The following is a 21,929-nucleotide window of genomic DNA, read 5'->3' on the forward strand; positions in this document are numbered from 1 at the left end:
GTATATACATATATATCTATATATATACACACTTACACACACACAAGGAAAAAAAGAAAATGATGTAAGTGAAATAGCGTATGGGAGAGGAAGGAGAATTATGTGTTTTGGGACAGCAGGGTTAGAAAGACCAAGAAACATTTAAAGATTCAAAACAATAGCATTTAGCCTGAAATCTACTTTTTATCATCTTTACCCAGCCATCAGAATGAAGAAAGACAGTGTCCAGCTGTAGCAGTAGTTTGGTAGCAGGAGAATTAGACGTAAAGGTACTAATGCCTGAGGGGTGGGTCATGAATTAATAATTGCTATGTGGCGGATGAGCCCCGTCAGAAGAGCTGAAAATGAGGAAGTTGCCTTGCAGAGCGCTATCAATCACTCAGTGACCATAACTTCCAGTAATTAGTGTATTTTATGGGCCTTTGCTTCAGTGGCTCGAAAGCACATATGCTCCAGTCACAGCTAAACTTTGCTGGAGTAATATTCCAGGATGATTTATCCTCCTGCTGCACTGGGATATAACCCTATATTAGGTGAAGATTGTGAACTAAGCTGCAATAAAGTGTAAGTTTAGGTACAGTTTGCCCAGGTTGAGACCTCAATGTATCACGCTTTTCAGCATTCATGGTTAGGCTATAGCAGGCAATCATTTTTAACAGTGAAACAAATAAAGCAATTAAAGGAACAGCATTAGGATATTGTACTTGTGAATTACTGTTGCCCTCTTCCTGTTTAAGTGTCTACTGTAATAAGCCCATTTCTTTTTATTTTTTTAAAAACGTACTCTGTTAGAAACATTTGTTCGTTTTTTGTTTTTTTTAAGTTCCAGGGTACATGTGCAGGATGTGCAGGTTTGTTAAGAAGTATTTATCTGTAATGCTGTCTTTTCTCCCTTATTATTAATAATCTGGGACAGAATGCAGAACCTTCTGAATGGTAGATAAGTGCTTGATTTATTTATTTGTGCTACTGTTTGGGCTCCTTAAGTAAGTTTATATCAGTGGACTTTGGTGAGGACAAGTAGTTGTTGTTTTTTGTTTTGGTTTTAATATTGGCACCCGTTAAGGCGCACTCCTGATGGGACCCTCACATTTAGGCTCTTTCTACACAAAGAAAAAACATTAGTTACAAGCTCTCAGACTACTTGGCACTTTTCGTATAGGCATAATGAGTTATTTGCTGTGGCTCACCCACTGCACTAGAAGTCTATGAGGTCTTTGCAGACAGGGTCCTTTGCCATTGCCAAAACATTTGTAGAGCCCAGTGTTCCTAGGCTCTTAACAAGCTTTGCCACCAACTTACAGTATGACCTTGAGCAAATTAATTAAGCTGCTGGTGCCTCCATTGGGCCATAATTCTGTTTGCGCTGAAGAAATCCTTAGAGTTTGTAGGAAAGAGTTTGTGAAAATAAGCATAAATTGAAATAGGAAAAAATACGTGTGGGTTCACTATATTCTCTTGAGAGTAAAGTATTTCTTCATCACTTTTAATGATGGTGTCTTTGAATTTCCTTAAATAGACACCAGTGATAAGCTAATTTCACAAATGTAGATGGAAGGGTGTACACAGTTTGATGCTTTCGTTACATTTATTATCCCATCTTTAATTTGCAGTGTATTATGATATCATACAAGTTAATAATAATAAAACAAACTAATTGTCTTTAATTAAAGTGAATTAGATTTTGATTTTAATATATTTGCTGTAGTGAGTACTGATAATGTGGAGGGTCCCAAAGGTTATTAGGGCATGTTTCTGTTAGGCCTGATGGTGTTAGTAATAATCCTCTTCCTCATAGTTCTAGACATGAACAAATATGTCACTTCATCAGTCTCTGTTACTCGCACTTATGCCCCTCCACAGGGGTTGCAGATTCCACAAGTTATCAGCTAATGGCGTTATACATTAAAAATTGAAGCTTTCCTCACTCTGAGGCCTTTCAAGGCTTTGTTCTTAAGCCCCAGACACTTTGGAGTGCAGCTGCAAACTATAGGCAGAAGATTAAATTAATTTGTAACTCTTTTTTTTTTTTTTTGGTCCTGCATTACTAAATCCTCCACATTTAATTGAAACCCTACTTCAAGACGCTTTGTGTTTCTGTGTTCTTTGTTGTCAGTTTAACCTCCAAAGCACTTTAACACCGGTAAATTGCTGTTATATCCTTTGGATTGTTTTTAAACCATTCAGTAAGAGAACAGTGAAATTGATACATGGGGAAAAAAGTAAAATCTTAGAGTAGATTTTGAGGTATTTAATATTTATTATGGTTCTTCACCAGCATAGTTTCAGATGATTTAAACTCTTTCTCTAGGACTGTGTAAATTGGTCTTGGGATGAAATCTCACCTAGGGAATTTTATGTAATCCAGTAGTTAAGTCTGATTTTTTAAAGTTTCCCTGTGTCTGAGTGTTCCAAAGTGGCTGCTGCATTTCTATAAAATGAAGATTTAACTGCAGCGCACAATCTAAATGCAAAATCCTTAGATGGAAATTTAATTGTGTAAAATGTACACAAGGTAATTAAGAACAAATTTTAGAACATTTCAGACTATAAAGTTGTCATTCAGCTAGATCACTGGCTATATTGAAAATGCTTATTTTCAATTTGTAGTTATGCCGAGAAACATAGAATATGTCTAAATTAAGAATAAAAAAATCCAGTGCTCTTCAGTAGAACTGTAAATTTAAAACTACTCCCACAACATAGTTGATATTCTGAGTAGGAGACTTGATTACTAAAAACATGTCTTGAATTTGTGTCCTGCACTTGTTTTCTGGCTACAATGTTTGTTTTCTCTTTATCATTTATGATTCTATGACAATAATTATTTTTATTATCAACAAAAGCCATTCTGTTGCTTTGTCAATAAATAACTTCTTTTTGTTAAAATACAAAGATTTTTATCGTGTTATATATTTGGCAATTGTTATGATCTCTCTTTCACGCACAGGCACACATACAAATATATTTGTTATTTAAATTATAAAATCCAACATATTCAAATGCTGCTAACTGAAGAGCATTTTATAGATTGTGGTTGGCCAAGTCAAAGGTCAATAAGATGACACTAAGGAACGTCCTGTTTTTAGAGTGAGATGTTAGTTGTTTACTGCTATTTAAGTGTATCCCCAACTGGTAACACTTCAGACCATTCTTTTTCAGCCTTTTACATAATAAACGTCCCGCAAGAGAGTCTTCAGCAGTTTGCTAAATCTTAAGTATTTGGAATTAAAGTGTACTTTTTAATTTAACATTAAATAGAATCCCTTATCTCTACCTCCACCCCCTGGCCCCAAATAAATAAAGCTTTTCCAAATCTTTTACGATGTGAGCTGCTCCCCTCCTGGGAATGAAAAGGATATGAGACCCATTTGATGAATTGCTGGCACTTATATGTGTCTACATTTTTCAGTACACTTTTTAAAAAAAAAAACTAGACTTAAGCTGCCTATATTACATGCTTCTTTTGTAAAGATGATAAAGAGAGCAAAGATTTCTATTGGCATAGGCCTAATCTATTTGCTTTGTTGTGATTCTTTTTTTTTCTTTCCTTTAACTGTTAACCTATTTATAAATCTAAATCTACATACAAAGGTCATTGGTTGGCTGAACTTAAACCATTTTACTCAGTAAATTTAATTAAGAAAATACAGTGCAACTCATAAGCAAATGAGTTTTTTCCTAGTTTTAAACCAAACCACCCTCTTGAGTGCTGATTGCCTTGCCCGACCCCTAGTGATACAGAAACAGGCAAAATTAAAAAGGACATTAAAGCTTCATTAAATCTGAAACACATTTAGTACAGTGACATATCTGCAGGCCATTTCAGAGAAGATTACATACTCTCTTTTGTAAGTTTCCTAATTTATAATACCTTGACAATAAAAACTAGGGAAATGCAAGTAGATTAATAGACCAGTAGGGGTAAAAGATACAGAATGGCCCCAGGTCTGCCTGTGTGTGAAATATTCACTTGGAGCATATGTGCTCCTTCTTCCCCATAAGGGTCCCATGTTTATTTTGACTTTTGACAGCCTCGTGGAGAACTCGTTCTTTTTTATTTATTTATTTATTTATTTTTTGAGTTAGGGTCTCACTCTTGCTCAGTCTGGAATGCAATGGCATGGTCAAGGCTCACTGCAGTCTCTACCTCCCCGGGCTCAGGTGATCCTCCCACACTAGCCTCCCAAGCAGCTGTGACTACAGACACGTGCCACCACACGCCTCTCATTTTTGTAGAGAACTCGTTCTTCATGCAGCCATATCTACTAAGAAACCATTTTCTTTTTTACCTCCTCCCAATAGAACTTGATAAAAAGAGTTCTAGAGCCTGGCTATATGTTTCCTTCTACTTTTCTATAAGACAAATAGTGTGGAACATAAACACTGTAGCTGCATTAGACCTAGAGGGATAGAGGCATACATAGAAGGCAGCGGTCCTCTCCTGGGGCCTTAAAATGACTGCTTTCAGTGCCAGCCTAATAGTGCACTTGCCAGTTTTCACTGGCATAGATTCCCAAGTCTTTCAACAGCCCAGTGGTGACACTCTGTAAGAGAGGAAGTGATTGTCATCATGCTGCAATTGCAGCGGTACCTACTAGTTAAGATCAAAGAACCATTCTCTGTCTTCTAACTCTAAAGAGGTCAGACCTGCAAGATGTCTTACAAGCAGTCCTCCCAGGAACATAGTTAAAAGGTAGGACTGAGGTTCCACAAGATGTCAGGAAATAACACTGAAAGCAAAGCCAGACCCATGAATGATGAGTTCACCAGTTCAAGCACTGGCACCTGTTCCCAAGCAGACTGGTACAGAGAGGCTCCCAGCTGACCAAACTGCACTAAATTTTCTCTCTGTTGTCTTGCATGGCATTGTCTTACAGAGCAAACAAATAACATCAGCCATCCTTTTTTACCTTGTACAGTCATGACAGAGAGGGCCAAGTAGATGAATGCACATTCCCAAGTTGGCTGGAGCCTGGCCTCTCTGTAGAACCATGACCACTTGCAACCGGAAGCTTTGTGTTGAATCGGGAAGAATTCACATTTTTTGCTGTATCTCACTCCGTTTTAAGCCGTCCATTTACCATTGCTTAATTCTTTAAATTGCAAGAACCAATGGTCAGTGTTGGCACCTGCCAGCTAGTTTAGATCTTGACTATATGTGTGGTGGGCAAGTTTCCTCTGTCTTTAAGCCATGTGAACAGAATTATTCCATGGTCCCTGATGACATGCTGAGCATATACCCAAGTGAATGGCGCAATGCCTGTGGAAGGTCTTGAGCTAGAATGTTCTAAGTGCTTTGTAGTAGTTATTAAGCTATTAGCTTTTTTAGGTGTGAGACTCTCCTCTTGCTGGTTTTCTAACTCCAAATGGAAGTATATGCAAAAGTCATAATCCACAGATCACTGTGATACCTGTTAAGACACTGCAGACTGTTGCAAATGCCTAGTTCACCCACCACAGTAGACCATAGTAATTCCTCCTGAATCAGTGTGCACACTCTGATTGGCCAGAAACAAACTATTTTCAAAATGTAGGGCAAACCTACGAACCTGTATTGAAAGGAGGTGGGGTGGGGACAGAGGATGGGAGAACTGAGTCTCTCCCTTTTCCCTCCCCGTACATAGACAACAAACATAATCACACAAAACTTCGAAAGGGAGTTTGGCAAACATCTACACTCTCTTTCTTTCACCCCATCTTGTGATGTTTTTGTTATGTACAGTGGAAGAGATTAATGATATCCATCAAATGAAATGATGATAGTATACCTATATCTTGAAAATCCATACACATATCAGTGTATATTTTGTGTACAAGATATGAGTACAAGGTAATGAAACTAGGTATTCTAAGACATACATATATACACATACACACAAGCATATGTGCAAATGAGTGTGGGCCTTTTCAAAGTAGTCACTTTACGAGGTCATAATGTTTATTCCTGTTACATGGCTATTGTTCATATTGGTTTTAGAACTTTGATAACTTCAGCATATTCATGTCTAAGCAACAAAATATTTAGTTTTTGTATGTGGCTTTGGGTTTTGGTAATATCCATAGGCTATTCAAACCTTAGTCTACAAATAATTTACATGATGAACAAGCTGAGGGGTATAATTTTAAATCCAAGATAAGGTGCATACTAATAAAATGAAATAGGTATTCTGTTAATTGAAATAATTCTAAAACAATTACAAAAGGAGAATTCAGAAATGTTTGAGCAGTGTCAGTGTCTTTGAAATAAGCGCAGAACTTCTCAAGATCTAGAAAGGCAGTTTCATATGCAGGAAGGAACACTGGATTAAGTTGCAAATCTTAGGGTCAGTTCCTAGGCTTCCACTTATTAACTGTTTGGGAGCTACTTCAGTGGGACTCTGGGTTTTAATCTTTGAAGTGGGTTGATGCTCTCTTAGATCCATTAGCGTTAAAGTCCCTGATGTTGCGATTCTGCTTTGAAAGTAATTACAAATACATGTAAATGATGTCAGGACTGAGGATTGGCCACATTATAAAATTGCAAAGTTTTGCCACTATTTTCTTTAAATAGGTTTTTGTATGTTTGTTAAATTTTATCTTTTTGGCCAGGTTCAATGGCTTAGCCCTGTAATCCCAGCACTTTGGGAGGCCAAGCCAGGCAGATCACTTGAGGTCAGGAGCTCAAGACCAGCCTGGCCAACATGGTGAAACCCCATCTCTACTAAAAATACAAAAATTAGCTGGGCATGATGGTGTGCGCCTGTAATCCCAGCTACCTTGGGAGGCTGAGACAAGAGAATCACTTGAACCCAGGAGGCAGAGGTTGCAGTGAGCCGAGATCACGCCACTGCACTCCAGTCTGGGTGACAGAGCAAGACTCTGGCTCAAAAAACAGTTTATATCTTTTTGCTTTATATCAAGCCTATTCCTGGTTGGATCATTTTGTTTTTACAGGTGAGGATTCAAGGATCAAAATTAAGTGACTGGCTCAGAAACAGAGCAGTTTACAAATCAAGTTAGATTGGAAGCTTTCAGACTTAGACCTACAGTTCTGACTTCACAACCTTGAAATGGCCATTTTTCCCACTAGTGGGTAGAAAATGGATGAAAAAACTTTAACAAATGGATGAAAATAATGGCGCAGTTTTCAATTTCATAATAATGTCCATTCCCCACTTCCTACTACCCTCCATTTATACTTGTAACTGAAAATTTTGTGGGTTAGTAACAATTAGATGTTCCCATTTTACAAGACTAAAAGCAAAGAGTTTTTACATCTCTGTCTAGAAGAAACTGTCACACACACGTAAATGTGAATAATGCCCATATAGCTGAGAATATTACTAAGGGAAACCACATAAGGATAATGTTTTGTTATTAAAATTAAAATATTTTATCAGGGGTGCAACATCGTCCATTGAAAATGTCCATTCTAAATACAGCTCTTAATGTAATTACAGCAATAATTTAGTTTGTACATTCAAGGTTGTGAACTTTTTTATATTTGCTGGATGCAGTTCTGAAATTTAGTACTTGTCTGTCTTAAGGAGATCTGCCCTGCATGCAAATCTATAACTAGACAAATATTATTTCCTTTCCCAGCTTGCTCTTGGGAGGTTTCCATATCCTCAGGTAAGATTGTTCATTACTGCTGTTTGCCACTGTGACATTCATTCCTATGTATGAAGGTGCAGGGAGCAATTGTGAACATTTGAGCCACATACAAATAAATCTGTCCTGTTAAATTGAAAAGTGGTATCTTAAAGGGTTCATTTAGAAATCTCTATTGATTTTTGATTTTTTTAAACTCCTGATTTTTTCTTCTTGTTAAAGGTTGAGAGTGATCATTGTGCTTTTCCTTTGTGTGACATTCGGGATTGTTTTTTTTCCTGGTCCAATACCATGTACTCATTTTGAGGTTGGAGGAGAGAGCCAGCTTTTTCTTGATACACTTTTTAAGCTCTTAAATTCACTTAAAATTTTTTGAGTTAAAAGATTAAGACAAAGGGTGAAAGCATCTAATCTAGGTCATTATTTTTGCTAGGCAAATATATAGGCCCCCAATTTTATGAGTGTAATTTTGAACATATTATTTAAAAATATTTTGCTCCCTCCTGTCTACATTTGTAAGGAAACAAAACAGTCCATTATAGTAGCATTGCTGACTCTAATCTTTATTAAAATTTCTTTAAGATTTTTATTATAGAAGGGTACCAGCACTAAAATAGAAAGCTATTTTGTGGTTTGAAAATGATTCCCCAGTTTGTGGGGGAAATAAGTGAAATGTCTAGAGGGATGAAAAATGAATGGTTTGACTGTTTTCCTCTGGTTGATGTTCACTGTTTTTCTGGCATCTTGGTCTGTACAGGCCAAAGTGCCTAGAGGCATGTCTGATTTAAAGGTGGTGTTGGTCTCTGCTCTTTAAGCATCTATTAACTTGCTATTATTATGCAAATAAGTGTTGTATTACACATACTAATTTATGCATGGTTAGATTATGCAGATGCATCACAAACATGGTTATTGAATAATAGGATGGGGCTCATTCTCTCTACCATCTTTATAAGCAGTTTTAAGCAAATTCTCCTGGTACCAATGTGGACATTTAAAGACCCTTTACTCAATGAAATGTCTCTTTCGTATTCTTTTGCTTTCATAGTTAAAGCCATCAGATAAGTGGAAGAGAAATCGTCCAAGTTGTTAGGTTCAAGAGTGTTAGTCTCACTTTTCAAATTCATAGACTTTTTTGTTTAAATGTAATCTTTTCCTTATAGAGAAAATCTAAAATGCAGTTGCTTGGCATGAATGCTGGCATTTAGTGAGATTTTAGTGTATATAGCCTTGCTGCTTAGCTCTAGGTAACCCATCAAATTAAAATTACATTTTCAGGATTTATAGCTCATTAGAATATTTATCTTGGTAAGCTTCTTATTCTGTCAGTAATTTCTAAACAATTCAGCTTGGCCAATTTGTGAAATCCCCTAAAATTTTGAAAGTGAACTCACAAGCCCTATGCAGTATATTTCTCAAACAAATCTTAGTAGAAAACTTATAAGCCATCCAGTAAAAATTCCAAAGGTTGAGAATGTAGCAATATTCTTGAGATTCCTAATGTCTAGAGTAGTTAATCAGTGAGATTTGATGGGTGATGAGTCTAAGAAATGGATTTTGCCATGGCCAGGTGCAGTGGCTTACGCCTGTAATCCCAGCACTTTGGGAGGCCGAGGTGGGCGGATCACGAGGTCAGGAGATTGAGACCATCCTGGCTAACATGGTGAAACCCCGTCTCTACTAAAAATACAAAAAAAAAAAATTAGCCGGGCGTGGTGGCGGGCACCTGTAGTCCCTGCTGAGGCAGGAGAATGGCTTGAACCCGGGAGGTGGAGCTTGCAGTGAGCCGAGATCACGCCACTGCACTCCAGCCTGGGCAACAGAGCAAGATTCCGTCTCAAAAACAAAAAAAAGAAATGGATTACTGCCACATTTGACAAGTGAAGCACATGAAAGCTGTGGTCAAATTTGAGAAGAGGCTATTTACCTTTGCAGTATGGTTTTCCTGAATGTCTAAATATATCTTTACTTGATCAGTCAAGTGGAAGTTGGAAAATTCTAATACTATGCTGAACTCCCTAGTTAGCAACAACCTTTATACCAGAGTTGGGGCGGGAAACAACTGTATTCCTTGAATCATGATAGAATGTTGTCACCAAATTGTTACTTCTATCTGAAATAATAGAAGCAGCTTTGATGCCGTTAGGCCTATTTCCTAAGTTTTTCAACAGAAGTTGGGGTGCGTCGTTGCTAGAACCACTAATGACTTTTGGTGGAGTTGGCATTTATTTTACAGGCTTTGTACTATAAGCTGAAGATTGGGAAAGGATACTTTATAAATGCCTTTCCTACCCCTCCCTTATGCCCTCAAAAAAAGCACATGAAGAAAAATGTGTATTTTTATAGTGTCACTGAGGCTGAGTTATGGAATAACACCTTCTCTTTGGCCCACGTTATGTCATTTGAACTCCTACCACTCTGTGAAATAGCCTCCCCTCATAAATTGGACAAACAGAATGGCTGATTTGCTCACTGTTAAAACTGTGACTGGTTTGGTTTCTTTGAATCCCAAGTGCAGTAGGCAGGAGTGAATCATAGACTCTTAGAGTTGGAAGGGATCTTAGACATCATCAAATCAAACTTCTCTACAATGTCTCTGAAAAGCAAACATCCACACTGCTTGAACACTTCCAGTGACAAGAAACTCACTATCTTACAAAGCATCCACAGGGTCAAAGCAGTGTTCTATTTATCAAGCTGAGAACTATCTCATCCTAAGTGTCACTCACTAGTCTGATCCTAGAACACATGAGAGCCTTTCATATATCCTTAAGATCACATTGGTTTGATTGTTCCTAGGACTAGGGACAGTGCCAGGGAATTGCTGCTGTGAACCTAAAGTCTAATCAGGGCACCAGACCTGAGTTGTCTTCACTAGTGGCAAATTGAGAGGAGTGGCCTATTGGAAGGAGCCCTGGACCATGAGCCAGAGTATTAGAATTAGAATTAGGTGCTACCACAGTCTCACTGCAGGTCTTAATTGTTGCTTTGTAACTCTGAGGTGTCAGTTTCCTCATCTCTAAAATGAGGATTCTAATGCCTACCTCTTCTATCTGATTAAAGGAGGTATGCTGATCAAATGAGACTATGGATATGAAACCACTCTGAAAAGTACAAAGGGCCACCCATCTGGATCAGATGTTGGGCTGCAGCACAAAACAGAATTTCCCAGCTATCAATCATAGGTTGTAAAAGGATGTTCTTAGCAACATGCCAGCCACAATTGGAGCAGAGTATAAAATGAGCAGAGGGTAAAGTGGGGAGGAGGGGCCGGCTTCAAGACTTGTCTTTCCCCCAGCTCAGTGTCAGTGCTGCTGACAGCATCATTAGCAGCCCCTCTTCCTGCTGGTGACACAGTGTGTACCCAGTGAGGTCGCAGAGAGGGAGGAGTGTTGGGAAGATACTAGGGACAGTCAGTGCCCTGGGAGCAACATAAAGGTTAAAGGGCTGGGTTTTTGTTGAGATAGCCATTCTGTATGAGTTTCATTGTTTTGTGGGTTGGGTCTTTGTTATTTGAAAGCACTGTTTTAGTTTCCTTTAGGCCTTTGGGTTGCATAACTTCCTTGGCATGCAGTTTAGGGTTCTAAAGAAAAAAAACATGAGGAGCACAGTCTTATTACTACTGCCTATAACAGGAAAAACAATAGTGTCTTGGCTTCACCTGGCACCTTTCCCACATAGGGTTCCAGTCTCAGGCTGTTACCTGACTCAGGCTGTGCATTCTACCTGCAGGGACTTATTTCCAGCCTCTAGGTGAGCCAACTCAGGCTCAGAGAGGCAAAGTACCTTGCTTTAGGCAGGAATGGGTACAGTTAGGTCTAGGACTTGCAGACAAATAAGCCAACTCCCTGGCTCTTTAACTTCTTAATTCGTTTGGCTATTCATACCCCTGTTCTCCTTTCCACTCTGCCCCACAACCCTTCTTCTAGTTTGCCCTCTCTGCCCTAGGGAGGCCTCTTGTATAGATGAGAAATGCTGAGCATTGGAGGGTTGTGCCATTGTGGATGGTGACAAGACCATTCCCCAGATCCCACTTGCTTTTCTTACCATGTATTTAGCAGAGTAACGGGAGATCCAGAGGGACCCAGAGCCCTCACTGACCCCAGTGCCATTAAATTCTGGGTGCTTGTGAAGCATATTCTGCAATAGGATAATGAAAAATTGCATTTTTAAATATCTTGCGAACAGTTTCTCAATTTCTGGAACAATTTAGCTTTAATAGTAATCTGGAAAGATGTGAAGGTCTAGACAAGGACTGGAGCTGCCTATAGTTAATCATGTAGATCCAAATTCAGTTGACTTAAAAAACATAATGGTGGGCAATGGTTTGTTTAATGACACCATAATTTAGGAGAAATGAAAAGGATTGCCTGCTAAAAATTGTCATCCTTCATTCAAACTTTACAACAGTGCCCTGCATTAGGATGATAGCAAATCCATTAAGGAGACTTCTCAGGGGATGCATCAGCTCTGGCATTGGGAAATTTGGCAAGCAAGATGCCACAGGAAAGTGAAGATAATACAGACACAAATGTATTTAAAGTACTTTTGCATGTATAAAAATACTGTTCTTCTTTTGGCTGCAGTTCCTGATCTTGGTTAATAAATTACATCAAAATGACCTGAAGTTAAAAAAAGGAAAAAAATCTGAGCAAATAGTGCCCCTGGTATTGTAAAGCTTTGAATGTTTTCACACCCCATTAATTTATTACTTCTCTTTCTTCATCTTTAAATTTCATTTTTTTTTTCAAAAATTCCGACTCCCCGCTGCTGCAGTGATTTTCATCTTGTTGTTAATTTTCCCTGCTCCATATGGAGCTCCAGACATTTCACCTGGAGGCTGTACTAGATTTTGCTGTAGTGATCGTACTTCCGGAGGCCAAAACTGTCATTTAGGGTTCCTGGTGCATCTGTCTGCGCCAGGCTTTTCACTGGCATGGGAGAGTGTGAATAACAAATTGGATGCACCTGAGATTCGGATGATTAGTGTGTTTTGTGAATCTCCACGACTTGTAAGCAGATAGCTCTGTGGGGAGGGGGGGCTTAACAGCGACTGTGGGCGAATCTGTACTCACACCTTACATTTGGGGCTTTGCAAGGGAAGTGCAAACATCCTAGGCAGTCTGAGTGCAGAGAGAGTAACAAATATTTCATCCTGCCTTGTCATTGATTAGAAAAGAGCCTTTAATTTCATTTCACCCCATGTTGTGATTAATTTGCATTCTTTGTCAGAAGTTAATGGAGTTTTTTATGGTTCACTCTGAAATCCTTGAAGACATCAGACTTGATCTGATGTTTATACAACCGCCAGCGGAATTTTTTCGTTTGATTGATGGCAAGCTTGATGTTATTCCAAACGGCTTTTTAAGCTGTTTTTAAGAATTATTTGAATAAAATGCAAGCAAGATATTCTTGTAACGATCCAGTTTATCTGTTAAAAATCTGTTTCAAATAAGATGATAAGTAGTAAAAAAGGATCAAAAAGATAAGAGAAATAGTGAATAGTGATGTTATTTGTTAAAAACACATAAGAATGGCATTCAAATAAATTATTGCAGTATATGGAGAAGATCACTTTTATTGGGAAAAAAAAATACCATCATCTGGCCAAATAGAATAATTTGGACTAGGGTAAAAGGAAGGTCTGAATCTTTGGGATCAGAAACTTTTACTACCAATTGGCTAATTCTCATTTATTCTGCCAGCTTTTGCCACCAGTGTACAAAATAGAGATCTACTTTACTTAACTCAAGGAGACAGGGCTGTCAGGCCTGTTAGCTGAACAAAATGATGACATATTGCTTGTCTCAAAGAGGCATTCTTAAATCCCAATACAAGTTAAACATAGGTAGATAATAAGTGAAAAATATGCATTCTTAATGATATAACGACTGGCACCTTCCATAGATAGTTCAGAAATGAAAATATCCTGTTGTTAAAACCAAGATACTTCTGTCATCCTTGGGTAAGAGAAATGTGTGTTCAACCCCTATATACTACATATCAAAGTATGAGAGGAGCTGTAGGTGGCATTTGCTTCAGAACCTCCTGCTATTAACCAAGGAAATACGTTTTGCAAATGCTTTTTGATTACCAATAACATTTGTTTGATTTGGGAGCTTTGCCTTGCTTCAGCAGATTCTTGCTGTGCTGTGACTGCTGCTAGTGAGACTTACTCATAGGTCAAAAAGCTACTTATCTGAGCACTTTCATTTAAAACCGATTAATTTATTTGCTGCATCTGAAAGTTTGCTAAATAATTGGGTAGTTTTAATTGAAATTACTGCTTTCTGATCCTTGTATTAACATGATCTAAGGTCCTTTTTATTATATGCAATCCATATTATTGACCAGATTTGCCCTGTTTTCATTTAAATGTAAGCAGCTTGTCAAGGAGAAAATATTTTGTTTAACTTGGCTTGGAAACGTGCTATTTTAATGTGTTTTGTTTTTTTCAATTGACAGACTGTCTTTTAAACATTCATTTATTTTGTAGTAATAAATTGTGCTCTGGATAGAGTATGTGTTTCAGAATAGAGTAGAAAGCATATGTTCTTAAAACTATTTAAAAACATTGAGCACTTTTCAAATGCTAATGTTGAAGTACTAGAGTTTTTACACTTAATTTTATTTGTGTTTTAAAAGCCTTTGACTAGTATATTGTTACTAATTCTAATGTTGATTGTTTACTGATGTCTTATATTCTATGTTAAATTTAGACCACAGATATCATTATCTTATTTATGTTTACTGATCACTCCTGGAATTGCAAAATACCTAAAAAGTTTGCACTCTTTGAAAAGAGGTATTAGAATCTATCCTTTGTTGCATAAACTTTTTGAAGTTTGGAACATGAAGGATTTAAGTAAATTTTTAAATATACAGTTTTTTGTATGTGAGGTCTTTAATCAAGGAAAAAATAGCAATGAGTAATCACCCCAAACTTCAAGTACTCACCTTTAATTTGCAAGAGTTTAAAGGGGCACTATGCATGCAATTTTTTTTCTAAACAGATGTCTAGCCTATATGTTTTAATTCATTTTACTTTTGTCCTCACTATTTAGGATATAGACATTTAAAATATCCTGATATTTCAAGCATAAAATCAGATTTATATTCCATAAAATGCAGAGACGAAATTTAAGTGACATGAAGATGTTCACTTATACACATTTGCTTCTTCCTAGGAATTTTTAAATTGCCAGTGTCAAATTCTTCTCCATATCTATTGTGTACTTATCAAGAAGTCTCATTATTTTATTTGCTTAGCCTATGCCAGAAACAGGAGGTGGGTTCCTAGTATGTCCTTAAAATAGAGCAGAAATGGAAGAGACATCATCCCCAATGTGTGGGTAGCTTAGAAATGTGAAATTCTTCATTAAAGATAAATTATTTGTTAATACTTCAATTGAGATATCTGTATTTGGCCAGTTAGGTTCGTGATTCCTGTGTTGTTTGAAAGCACTAACCTCATGTTGGTTTGATTCTGTAGTACCTTCTACACTATTGTATGACATACATCTCAATTCAACATTATTTGTCACTGAGCACCTACTCTGTGCCTGACTAAGCACTAGGAGCACAAAAATGAAACAGATGTGGTCTCTGCTCTCAAAAGAGTGCAGTCCAGTTGGAAGAAAAACATAAAACCAATGGCAGTTGATATAAAAGGAATCCTCCAGGAGATGGGATGCTCTGACCTCAAGAGGAAAAGGGAGTGGTCAGCTCACTTCAGGAAACCAAGAGGGTTTCACAGAGTAGATAGCTGACGCTTGAGCCGAGGCTCTGAGGCAAGAAGGATGGGACCATGATTCCTTTGTAATTTTTAAATAATCAGTTTAGCCCAGAAATAGAATAGAAGGTTAAAGTAATGAACTTGGACACCAAGTCATAATAATAAACTTGGTGTCCAGTCTGGCTTTCACGTGGCAGCTTTGCTATTATCTCTCCCTCCTAGGCTCTGTGGTCCAGGAGGCCTTCTACTTCTCTCCCTTTGCAAGAAGCATGGGAAAGGATGTGCTAGGTACTCAAGTCCAAAGGAGGTTCATCTGGTAAAAGATAAAGGTCTAAAACAGCATATTATATTTGGTGTTGTTCCGGTACTTTAACAGTACTACCATTGTTACTTTCATTTCCCTAACAGCTTAGCAATTCTCCTAGGTAACTTTTAAAGTCACCGTGGGAAGGAAGTAAGAAAAGGGAGGGGAGCATGGTAGAGGAGGGAGGTAATGTGTCAGGATGGAGATGGCAAGTGTAGCAGGGACCAGATAAAGAAATTGGGTTTGAGAATTTTGTACATCCCCTTGACATGACTGGGGCTGATCTGAGGTTGGAAGTCATTGCATTTTAAGGTCTCTGCCCTTGAGGACAGTTGGCACATGCCCCTGAGGGGTTCCCTGCCACCCTTTATGAATTTGGCTTGGTATATCACGGCATTTTCTAGACTGCTGGGGAGGAATTGTCATGATCAAATGGACTAATGCCTAAGAGAGCACTTTGAAAAATATAAGGTGGTAAACAAGAGCTAGGTAATATTAGTATTATTTATATTTCCAGAAAGTTCTTCAGGGATTTACCTATGTAACTCTGAAAATATATGACCATGTCTCACACCAGGTAGGACTAAAATGAATTATTTTTCTGATCCCACAAGAGCCTTCCTTTACAGACTTTCTTTTTTGAGTTATAATTTATCATTCACAATCACCATATAATATATAGAATTATATACAGAATCTCGTCATTTTTAGTTCAGTTACTGGGGACCATGATTCCCTTACAATTTTTAAATAATCAATTTAGCCCCCAGAAATAGAATTGAAAGTTAATGAACTTGGTGTTCAGTCTGGCTTTCATGTGGCAGCTTTGCTATTATCTCTCCCTCTTAAGCTCTGCGGTCCACTAGGCCTTCCACTTCTCTCCCTTTGCTTTTATTGATGCAGTCTGCTACTTTATGGAATCATAGGATTTCAGCATGTGAAGAGATCTTACAATGATCTAGTCCAACTCTTAGATTACAGATGAGGAAATAGGAGTCCACAGCCATTAAATGACTCACTCATGATTACCAGGTATTCAGCAACAGGGCCAGACTGTCTCCCACTCACAGTGCAGTGGTCTTTTTACTTTAGAGGGATGGTGGGGGAGAAAGTGAGATAAGGCATCCAGAGACTGTGAGTCTAAATGGCCGTCCTTATTTTACACACATATCCACTCAAGTACTGCCTCCAACTGGTGTGTCTGCAGAGATGAAAATTACTGTCCCAGGATGCTCTGTGCCTGCCAGGTAATTGCTGACTGGCTATGGATCCCTGGGGGGAGAATGGTCCTCAACAGCAGTAGTAGCAGCAGCAACAGACAAAGACATCAACTTTTATTATACTCCAGTGTTTTACTTATCACCATTCAGTATGGAAAACTTGGGTAGATTTGGGGATAGGGGCTCATTGGCTTCCAAGTTAAAAAGGGGACAGACCTGGCCGAGCTTTGTTTGAGCATAGATTACTTTTTAGATGTTTAACAGTTATGGATTAATGCGTGGGAGGTTTGGGAATTCTTCCTCAACTAAAATGTTAATGATGCTAAGAACCCAACCCTCTTCAGTGCCAATAAAACAGACGAGCTAAGTTCATTGAAAAAATCAATGAGTTGCCTAAAAGGAGCAAAGAGCTGATTCGATTTAGGGCTGGAGATTGCCAGGACACACCAGGTGGAAAGAGGGTCCCAGAGACCACGAGGAGCTAGGAAAGGAGGCAGTTGTCTGTTTATGCACAGAGCCAAGGTGTCATCTCCAAGGAATTTTGGGAAACCAAGGCAGCCAATTGGAACCAAGTGTGGACTGTTAGGCTGCACCCATCAATGTCTGCAGATGGTGACCACCACGGGGAGAAGGAAAGAACAGCTTGGGGAATAGAATAGTCTTTTTTTTTTTTTTTTTTTTTTTTTGAGACAGAGTGTCACTCTGTCACCCAGGCTGGAGTGGAGTGGCATGATCTTGGCTCACTGCAACCTCCACCTCCCAGGTTCAAGTGATTCTCCTGCCTCAGCCTCCCGAGTAGCTGGGATTATAGGAGTGCATCACCATACCCGGCTAATTTTTGTATTTTTAATAGAGATGAGATTTCGCCATGTTGGCCAGGCTGGTCTCGAACTCCCGACCTCAGGTGACCTGCCTGCCTCAGCCTCCCAGAGTACTGGGATTACAGGCGTGAGCCACTGCACTTGGCCTAGAATAGTCTTATGAGAGAAGAAGCTATTGGCCTACAGGTTCAGAGGAGGAGAGACCAAAGGGGTAATGAAGCTTGTCTTGTTTTGTTTTCTGTTCAGAAACAAGTTGCAGAGAGCACTCTTCTGGGCATAAGGCATGAGGCGACCTGGACTCCAGGCCTAGTTGGTAAAATCCTTTAATCAAAAGAAAGTTCCTGGCCAAAGGCCTCCTTCCAGGCCCTGCTCTTTGGATAGCCCTATGCCTTCTTGGTAGCCAGGCAGCTGGAAACACTCAGTGATTCAGGGTAGAGGGCATAGGAGGCAGCAAATGACACACCCGACAAGTGACAAATTAAGTCACTGACAGTATATGATTTCTACCCAAACATACGCACAGAGCTAACCTGAGTTCTGGTCTTGGCTTTTCTTATTAGTTGCTTGACCTTCTTTCTTTTTGGACTTCAGCCTCCTCACCTGGAAAATGATGGAAATGCCCTAGGTTAGTAATTTACAGAATTGTGGGTAGACAGTGTATAGAGGAGATGGGGATCCACCCACATACACATGTACACACAACCACACGAGCAGCTCTGCTTCTATCTGGTAATTTTTAAATGCATCTAAGTAATACCTTATTTGAACTAGAGTTATTTCGTAAACAGAGTCTGAAAAATGCTGGACAGGATATTTCTATGGTCTGCTTTCACCTTAGATGAGCAGCTTCCTCCTCCTGTCCACACCTTCAGCCCTCTTGCTCATCACCATCTCCCTCCGATTACTTCCTTGAAGTTTACTGAAACCTGATTGTACCTATATCAAAATATGGGAGGTGTGAAGTAAAACTCTGAATCAAATATCAAACATTGGAGCCAGGTGTGCTAGCTCAAACCTGTAATCCTAGCACTTTGGGAGCCCAAGGCAGGAGACTCACGTGAGCCCAGGAGTTTGAGACCAGCCTGGGCAACACAGGGAGACCCCGTCTCTACAAAAAATTTAAAAACCAGCTAGGTGTGGTGGCATATGCCTATAGTCCCAGCTATTCAGGAGGCTGAGGAGGGAGGATCACTTGTGCCCAGGAGGTCCAGTCTGTAATGAGCCATGATCGTGCCACTGCATTCCAGCCTGGGCAACAGAGTGAGACCCTGTCTCAAAAAAAAAAAAAAAAAGATAAAGTAAGTCAAACTTTATCCAGTTCATTCTTGATCCATGACTTATTTTGTTTAAATCTATTTTGAATTTCATTTACAGTCAAGCCAGTAAGACACATGTTAATTCACAAGATTGTGTGTGACTATATATATATATATATATATATATATATATATATATATATTTTTTTTTTTTTTTTTTTTTTTTTTTTTTTTTTTTGAGATGGAGTCTCACTCTGTTGCCCAGGCTGGAGTGCAGTGGTGCAATCTCAGCTCACTGCAACCTCCTCCTCCCGGGTTGAAGCAATTCTCCTGCCTCAGCCGCCCTAGTAGCTGGGATTGCAGGCATGTGCCACCACACCTGGCTAATTTTTGTATTTTTAGTAGAGATGGGGTTTCGCCATGTTGGGCAGGCTGATCTCAAACTCCTGACCTCAGGTGATCCACCCACCTCGGCCACCCAAAGTGCTAGGATTACAGGCATGAGCCACTGCACCTGGCCAATTTTAAGATTATTTCCCTCCTTATCCCATATGAACCATGTATTGGCTGCAATACAACTGATCTCAAAATCTCAGTAGGCCACATCCAAATATATCATGGTAAAAAAATGTTCAGTGATATGTGGAACCAAAACTAATGCAGCAACCTTTCTTACAATGCCTAGAAACATTACCATGTGGTAGGGAGCTTTAGGGGTTGGAAGGATGGGGGGAAGCTGTCTTAGAAATCTATAGAACCCTGAGGGAAGAAAGCAAAACTCCAGAGACTTGTATTTTGTCCAAATACTGAGTGACTTTTAGAGGAGAGTCCAAGCCCTGTGCTTAATTAAATCTTAGCCCTGCTACTAGGTTTCAGGAACCTTTAATAAGTCACTCATTTCTGTGGGCCAGCAATTGTATTCTATCCATCTTTTGGGTCCTAGAGTCTAGTATAGCGCCTGGCATAGCATAAGGACTTAATAAACATATATGAAATCGATAAAGTAATTATGTAGCCCAAGTTTACTTTTTACATGTTTGCAATCAGAGGGAACCAAGAACAGAAATCCTGAGGCTCTAAATCAATTGTTTTGGCCCCTTTCTTTTCTTCCATGTCCCATCCTCCCACTCTATCCAGCCAGCATGAATACCTGAGCATAACACCTTCTGAGGATATGTGACAACTTGTCTTCACATGGGCACACACCTGTAGTCCCAGCTACTCAGGAGGCGGAGGTGGGAGGATCACTTGAGTCCAGGGAGGTCAAGGCTGCAGTGAGCTATGATTGCACCACTGCACCCCATCTTGAGCAATAGAGTGAGACCCTGTCTCAACAAAAAAAAAAGTGTTTCCTTTTCAGTCTCAGATTTCTTTTTCAGTATATAAAAAAGATTTATATACTTCTTTCAGTAAGATTTATATACTTCTCGGTCTTCTCTCATTTGAGCCAACTGTGTGATAAGGCTATCAGAAATGTGAATGCATGGCCTGGCGTGGTGGCTCATGCCTATAATCCCAGCACTTTGGGAGGCTGAGACAGGCAGATCGCTTGAGGCCAAGAGTTCAAGACCAGCCTGGCCAACATGGCGAAACCCCGTCTCTACTAAAAATACAAAAATTAGCCAGACATGGTGGCATGCATCTGTAATCTCAGGTACTCAGGAGGCTGAGGTAGGAGAATTGCTTGAACTGGGGAGGTGGAGGTTGCAGTGAGCTGAGATCGTGCCACTGCCCTCCAGTGTGGGTGACAAAGTGAGACTCCGTCTCAAAAAAAAAAAAAAAAAAAAAGTGAATGCACTTTTAGCCTCCTTGAGTCTCGGCTGTCTGGTGTATCAGGTCCAAAACATAGTGATCTAAGCCCGTCAATCCGAGGTCTGTGTTCAGGTGTGGGTGTCATACTTTATGAGGAACATACACATATGGAAACAAATTCAGAGAAAGGTGACTGTGGTGGTGGAGAATAGGAAATCATGCCTGGGTTCTTCAGGCAGCTTTCATGTCCAGGTAACAGAAAACTCAACTCAAAGGAGCCCTAATCACAAGGGGAAATAACTGGACTGCATGACTGTAAAGCCTAGTCTTCCTTGCTGGTTTTAGCTGGGACTTGACTCAGCAATTCATATTCGGTTCTCTCCTTAGTAGGCTTCTTCCTTCACAGACCAAGAATGGTTATTGGGGTTCCTGGAGCAACCCACTTCCTGTCTGAGAGGGGAACAGCAGGTCTCTTTTCCTCAGAAGCAACCAAAGGCCTTAGGCTGCAGTTTCATTGGACCAGTTCAACTCCCTGTGCCCAGGGGATTTAGATGTTGCTGACTAATGTAGGTCTGAACCACCTACCATACCCTAGAGCTGGGGGTGAAGTCATCTTCCCATGGAACACACGGGCTTCTTGGGGGTGGGGGAGTGTTGTTGGAGTATCCTTAGTAATAAAGGGGAGAAGGATAGAGGGCAACCAAAATACCAACTGATCATAAGGAAGAAAACAGGGATGTTCATTCAAGAAAGACAACATTGTGGAGACATGACTGCTATCTTCAAATATATGAAGAGCTGTCATTAAACTTATATGCCATAGCTCCAGATCATGGGCACATCTTACAGAAAGACATACTTCTTGGATTCAAAATAAGAAAGAACTTTTTTTTTTTTTTTGAGAGGGAGTCTTGCTCTGTCGCTCAGGCTGGAGTGCAGTGGCACGATCTCAGCTCACTGCAAACTCTGCCTCCCAGGTTCATGCCATTCTCCTGCCTCAGCCTCCCGAGTAGCTGGGACTACAGGTGTCTGCCACCACACCCGGCTAATTTTTTGTATCTTTAGTAGAGATGGGGTTTTACCATGTTAGCCAGGATGGTCATGATCTGCCCTCGTGATCCGCCCGCCTCAGCCTCCCAAAGTGCTGGGATTGCAGGCGTGAGCCACTGCGCCCGGCCAAGAAAGAACTTTGTTAACAGTTTAATCTGCCCAAAAGAGAATCATTGGAATCTCATCATTAGAAGTCTT

General features: G+C 39.6%; 1 protein-coding gene across 3 annotated transcripts in view; it reads left to right on the forward strand.

The window, feature by feature from the left end:
• MAP2K5 (mitogen-activated protein kinase kinase 5) overlaps positions 1 to 21,929 on the forward strand; it is a 264,412-nt gene that overhangs the window by 177,629 nt on the left and 64,854 nt on the right. For 2 of the 3 annotated variants that reach the window (NM_145160.3, NM_001206804.2), the window contains exon 17: positions 7,585 to 7,614. The exons of the other annotated variant lie outside the window; for it this stretch is intronic. In NM_145160.3, the coding sequence (NP_660143.1) occupies positions 7,585 to 7,614 (30 nt within the window). The remainder of the gene's footprint in view (positions 1 to 7,584; positions 7,615 to 21,929) is intronic. 3 annotated transcript variants of the gene reach the window in all.

The sequence above is a fragment of the Homo sapiens genome, chromosome 15 (assembly GCF_000001405.40).
Source record: "Homo sapiens chromosome 15, GRCh38.p14 Primary Assembly".
Lineage (NCBI taxonomy): Eukaryota > Metazoa > Chordata > Mammalia > Primates > Hominidae > Homo > Homo sapiens.